The sequence below is a fragment of the Homo sapiens genome, chromosome 16 (genome assembly GCF_000001405.40).
Source record: "Homo sapiens chromosome 16, GRCh38.p14 Primary Assembly".
Lineage (NCBI taxonomy): Eukaryota > Metazoa > Chordata > Mammalia > Primates > Hominidae > Homo > Homo sapiens.
The window spans coordinates 33,207,356-33,214,595 of NC_000016.10; positions in this window are offsets into that span (position 1 = coordinate 33,207,356).

A 7,240-nucleotide genomic window follows, 5' to 3' on the forward strand; every position below is an offset into this window, starting at 1 on the left:
CTGATTTTACTCTCTCTGGGTTCTCAGTTGTATTTCATTGATCTAAATGACTTTCCTTGTGTCGTTACTACACCATCTTGATTAAGGTTGCTTTGAGGCAAATTTTGAAGTTGTAATTTGTGAGTCCTTTTATTTGGCATCTTTTTAAAGATTTTTAAAGATATTCTTAGTCCCTTTTAATTTTATATGAATTTCAGCATCAATGCTTCAGTTTTTACATGGTAGTCACCTTGAATTCTAATTGTACTGAATCTAATTGTACTGGATGTAGACTGTTTGGGGAGTTATTGTCATCATAATGTATTAAACCTACTGATTCATAAACATGGAATGGTTTCTCATTTATTTAGATCTTCAACCTCTTTCGATAAGGTTTGTAGTTTTCAGATTATAAGTTCCTTTCACATTTTTAAAAATTTATTTCTATGATTTATTATTTAATTGCTATTGTAAATGGATTTGTTTTTGCCTCAACTGCATTATTAGATATTTCATTGCAAGTGTATAGAAGTAGAATTGATTTTTGTATAATAATTTTGTACCTCTGACCTTGGTGAATACATGATCTTGGTTGCTTCCAAGTTTTGTGAAAACTACAATTAATATTGCTGTAAACTTTTTTGTGCAGGTTTTTGTGTGGACTTACATTTTCAATTCATTTGAGTAAGCTAACCTTTAGGAATTTGTTTGGAGTTCAGAAGACACCACCCTGCCACATAAGATCGAGTTAAGAAAAACTCATTTTGTGCAAATCAAGTTTATATGGGCCTATGATGAGGTTCATGGAAAAGCACTGTGTATAGTTGTGTGAATTTGAGCCCAGTGATTTATTATGTATTAATCTTGCCCTGTGTAGCAGATGTTCTAGGAGGTGCTGCAATGACTAAAACAAAACAAATAATTCTGCCCACTTGAAGCTGATATTCTAGGAAAAAATAAATATATAATACAAGTAAAATAAACAATGTGTAAGATAGTGGTTACTGCTAATGTGGGAGGAGAGTGTGGTAAAGAGAGCAGAGGTCTAAACTGGGTGTCTCTCTGAGCATTTATTTATGTGTTTCAGCTGCTAACTCTGACAGTTAACAAGCTTGCGTGTCTTTGTCTGCGTGTATCCACCTTTATGTGCAGTGAAAAGTCTGCTTTTGTATTTATGCCTGGGTGCTATGTGTGTATTTGCTTTAAAATCACTAATACTTTTATGTTCTTGCCTAATTTCCTAGCTAACAGCTTTTTTTTTACCATGTTGAATAGATGTCGTGAGAACAGACATCTTTGTCTTATTTCTGATCTTAGGTAGAAAGCATTTTGTCTTTTAACATCAAGTATGATGTTAGCTGTGGGGTTTTTATAGATGTCTTACAATATCTTTTCTATTTCCAGTTTATTTAATGTTTTTATCATGAGGAGTGTTGAAGATTTTCAAACCTTTTTACTTTGTATTTTCCCTATATTAATACCTTGCCAGATGTATTATTAGAGTATTGTTATGGAGTATGTTCTATTATTCAGAGTTGTCCTGTTACTCTATTGATAGTGTCCTCTGAGAGACACTATTTTATTTCATTTGTTTGTAGTCTCTATCCCAGTACCACACTGTTTTGAGTAACATGACTGTGAGTAACTTTTGACGTTAGGAAATTTCTCATTATGAAATTAGAGCTCTGAACATTTTTATCTCTTTTTTTTGCGATCGTTTTGACTATTCTTGGTTCCTTGAGATTTCACTTGAATTTTAGAATGTTAGTTTCTGTTTCCATTTAAAAAAAGTTATTGGGCTTTTGATTGGGATTGCACTGCATTTATAGATAATTTTAGGAGAAATTGCCACATTAGTACTTTTAAGAGAGTTTCCAAGATGGCTTACTGGATGCAGCCAGCAAGTGTTGCTCCCAAAGAGAAAGACCACAATTTTGACTACATCAACATAGTTTGAATAGATATTTGGAGAGAAAATGGATAGTGTGGATGGAGAAAAGGTGCGTTTTCTAAGACTGAAGAGCAAGGAAGCTGGGGTGCCCTTATGGGGTGCCTGAACGCTATGACTGCTTTTTGGCCCTGAGTGGCATCTGGGGAAGAAGTGAGTAAAGGGACTGGGAGGCTGCTCACTCTCGCTGCAGACCACTGGGATCCTGGCTGCAGGAAACTCCACACCCCCATGGACATGTGAGTTGGCAAGGAGATCTCCCTGGAGAGTAGATGGAGATGGAGCTGTAGCAGGCACAGAGCCAGGACTTTTTAGCATGGGTCGGATCTGGTGGAGCTCAACCATAAAGTCCCACCTCTGCAGCTGCCTATCTCTCTCAGAGGCTTTGGCCCCAGCTAAACTGCAGGGAGAAAGCAAGGCCTGCTTACCCGCAGGACTGGGACATGTCTATCCTGTAGGCATGCCTGTCCACCAGCCTCTTACATGGCCCCTGCCTGGCTTCCTGGGAGAAGCATGTATACATTGTAGTTTCTGCTACCCAACCTGGATGCTTGGCTCCACCTGAATGCATTCTGGCAGCCCAGAAATCCCTCAGATCCCTCACCACACTTGGAACCTGGCCCTAAGCATCAGGAAGAGGGAGTCATAAGCAAGTCGTGGCACTCCAGTGCTGTGGCCTGTGGTTCAGGAGTGTCAAGCTGGGATCTGTGCTGGGCAGTTGAATGGGGGAGGAACCCACACTCTTCAGAAACTGAGAGGCCAGATTCACACAGGTTCACAGGCTGGCGTGGGCCCTAGGCACACCTCCTTCCACAGGGCTGTTATGGTAAAGATGCAGGGTATTTTTCTAGAAGACATCTCCCTGAGGAAGCCCCACAGCTTGAAACACCTAACAACAATGACAATAATGATAATGATAGTAATAGGCCGGGCGCGGTGGCTGACGCCTGTAATCCCAGCACTTTGGTAAGCGGAGGCGGGTGGATCACGAGGTCAGGAGATCGAGACCATCCTGGATAACACGGTGAAACCCTGTCTCTACTAAAAATACAAAAAAATAGTCAGGCGTGGTGGCGGGCGCCTGTAGTCCCAGCTAGCCGGGAGGCTGAGACAGGAGAATGGCATGAACCCAGGAGGCAGAGCTTGCAGTGAGCTGAGATCCTGCCACTGCACTCCAGTCTCTGGGCGACAGAGCAAGACTCTGTCTCAAAAAAAAAAAAAAAAAAAAAAAAAAAAAAGGAGATAATGATAGTAATAATAATGGGCATAGTGCCAGTGATTGGAAGTGAGTCTCTCAAGACTCATGAACAGACCTGTACCACAGAACATAGTTGCAAATAAAGAAGATACACAAAGGAACTGCATGGTAAAGAACCTATCTACATCCCACTGCTCTCAAGTGCTATCTACTGGATCGCAGTAGAGATTACACCACCAAAAATCACTTTACTAATTCTTCCCCTGTGAAACCAAGAGCAAGAATTCAACAACAAAGACACTGTACAGAGTCCTAGTCCTCTGAAAACCTTCAAAAAAAGAAAGCCAATAGACTATACTCAATTTATACCCCAATTAGAGGTATACCAGTTCTCTCAGATGAGAAAGAATTGGCTCAAAATCTCTGGCAATGCAAAAAGCCAGAGTGTCTCCTTCAAGAGAGCCCACTAGTGCCCCAGTGATGGTTTTTAACAGTCTGAATTGTCTAAAATGACAGACATGGAAAAAAGAGCAGGGAAACTCATTTAGATTGAGAAGAAAGTTGAAACTTAACCCAAGGAAGCCAAGCAATCCGGTTAAATGATTCAAAACCTGAAAGATAAAATAGCAATCTTAAGAAATATCTAAACTAAAAAAATTCTTGAGCTGAAAGATTTACTGTGAGGATTTTATAATAAAATCAGAAGTATTTCCAGCAGAATAGACTAAACTGAGAAAAGAATCTCAGAGCTCAAACACTGTTTTATTGAATCAACATAGTCAGACAAAAATAAAGATAAAAGAATTAAGAAAAATCAACATCCCCATTGAGAAATATGAGATTACTTAGAGAACAAATCTACAATTTATCAACATTTCTGAGAGAGAAGGAAAGAGAATAGGCAAGTTGGAAAATATGTATGAAGATATAGTTCATGAAAGTACCTCTAATCTCACTAGCGAGGTTGCCATTCAAATCCAAGAGAACCCCAGTCAGCCCCTAGTCAGATACAATAATATATGACAGTCTGTATTAGTCAGTTCTCACATTGCTATAAAGAAATACTTGATACTGGGTAATTTATAATGAAAAGAAGTTTGGTTGGCTCACAATTCTGCAGGCTGCAGCGGAAGCATGGCAGCATCAGCTTGGCTTATGGGGAGCCCTCAGGAAACTAACAACCATGGAAGAAGGAAGAGGGGGAGCAAGGCATCTTACATGGAAGAACAGGAGCAACACAGAGAGCGGGGAGGTGCTACCCATTCTTAAACAGCCAGATCTCATGAGAACGTTATCGCAAGACAGCACAAGGGGCTGGTGTTAAACCATTCACAAGGATCTATCCCCATTATCCAATCACCTCTCAGCAGGCCCCACCTCCAACATTGAAGATTACAGTTCCACATGTGATTGGGGCAGAATCACAGATCCAAACCATATTGCTATTTCCATGTCACATAGTCATCAGATTCACCAAAGTCAGTGCAAAAAAAAATTTAAGATCAGTTAGAGAGAAAGGGCAGGTTACTCACAGAGTGAATTCCATCAGACTAGCAGCAGACCTCTCAGCAGACTCCTTGCAACCAGAAGAGGTTAGGGGCCTATCTGCAGAGTTTTTAAAGGAAAAAAAATTAACCAATAATTTTATATCCCTCTAAACTAAGCTTCATAGGTGAAAGAGGAAAAAAAAAATTCCTTTGACAAGCAAATGCTGACGTGATACATTTAAACTAGACCAGCCTTACAAGAGGTCTTTAAGGTAGTGCTAAACATGGATTCAAGTGAATGATATCTGCTACCAAAAAAGCTCACTTAAGCACATAGCCCACAGGCACTATAAAGCAATAATGCAATCAACTCTACATAACAACCAGCTAACAACATGATGGTGAATTCAAAATCACACATATCAATACTCACCTAACATGTAAGTAAGCTAAACACCACAGTTAAAAGACACAAAGTGGCATCCTGGATAAAAAGACAGTACCCATCCATCTGTTGCTTTCAAGACACACCCTTTGCCTCAGAGTAAAAGGGTGGAGTGTATTCTACCATGCAAACGAAACAAAAACAAGCAGCAGTCACTATTCTTATATTAGATAAAACAAATTTAAACCAAAAAAAAAAAAAAAAACACTAAGAGGGACAAGAAGAGCATTTTGATAAAGGGTGCAATCTAACAAGAAGCCTTAACTATCTTAAATATATATGTGATTACCACTGGAGCATCCAAATTCATAAAATGACTTCTTCTTTGCCTACCAATGAAAAGAAGAATAACAAGGGCATATTGATAAAGGATAAAATCCTGTGAGAAGCCTTAAATATCTTAAATATATATACACTTAATATTGGAGCACCCAGATTTACAAAATGACTTTTTCTTTCCCCACAAAAAGGCTTAGACAACATCACAATAGTAGTAAGAGACTTCAACACCCTACTTACAGCATTAGACATATCACTGAGGCCAAAAAAAAAAAAAACTAACAGGAAAACTCTGGAGTTAAACTCCACACTTGACCAATTGGACCTAATAGACATCTATTGAAAACTCCATCGAACAACCACAGAATGTACATTTTTCTCATCTGCACAAAAAAAAATTCTAAGTTCAACCACGTGCTCAGTGATAAATAAAGCCTGAATAGATTAAGGAAAAATGAAATCTCACCAAGCACACTGTTGGAGCACAGTACAATAAAAAATACAAATGCATACCAAGATCTCTCAAAACTACAGAAATACATGAAAATTAAACAACTTACTCCTGAATAAATCCTTTGTAAACATCAAAGTAAGGCAGAAATATAAAAATTACTTGAAATTGATAGAAATAGGAACACAACTTACCAAAATTTCTAAGATGCAGCCAAAGCAGTGTTAAGAGGAAACTTTATAGCCCTAAATGCCTTTATCAAGAAGTTAGAAATGTCTCAAATTAACGATGTAACTTTGCACCTAAAGGAACTTGAAAAAAAGAACCAACCAACCCCAAAGCTAGCATGAGAGAAGACATAACAGCAATTAGAGAAGAATTTAATGAAGTTGAGATGCAAAAATGTATACAACAGTCCAAGAAAACAAAAAATTGGTTCTTCAAAAAAAATTGATAAGCTCCTAGCCAAATTAACAAATATAAAAAAGAAAGAGAAGATCCAAATAAGCGCAATAAAAATGACAGGTTATATTAAAATGGATCAGATAGAGATACAAAAGATCCTCAGCGAGTACTATGAACAGCTCTGCACGCAAATTAGAAAATCTGGAGAAAATGAATAAATTCCAGGAAGCACACAGTCTCCCAAGATGGAATCAGAAAGAGATCAAAACTCTAAGTAGACTAATATCAACTTCTGACATTGAGTCAGTACTAAAGAACCTACCAACAACAACAACAACAACAAAAAGGCCTGAAACAGGTAGATTGGCTGCTGAGTTTTACCAGACATACTAAGAAGAAATGATATCAATCCTACTAAAATTATTTCAAAATATCGAGGCGGTGGGGCTCCTTCCTAACTCATTCTTTGAAACCAGCAGTAGCATGATATGAAAATCTGGCAGAGACACTGTGAAAAAACAAAACTTCAGACCAAGATCCCTCATGAACAGAAAATGTAAAAATCCTCAACAAAATACTAGCAAACCAAATTCAGCACCACATCAGAAAGGTAATACACCATGGTCAAGTAGGCTTTATTCCTGGGATGCAAGCTGGTTCAACATATGCAAACCAATAAATGTGATTCACCAGCTAAATAGAATCAAAAGTAAAAACCATATGATTTTCTAAACAGATACACAAAGGTCTTCTTAATAAAATCCAACACTACTTCATGGTAAAAATCCTCAATAGACTAGGCATCCAAGGAACATACCTTAAAATAATAAGAGTCATCTATGGGAAACCCACAGTCAACATCATACTCAATAGGTTAAAAACTTAAAACTATTTCTATGAGAACTGAAACAAGACAAGGATGCTCACTCACAGCACTCCTATTCAGCTTAGTACTGGAAGTCCTATGCAGAGCAATCAGGCAAGAGAAAGAAAAAGTAACGAAACAGGAAAAGAAGTCAAACTATCTCTCTTCGCTGAAAATATGATC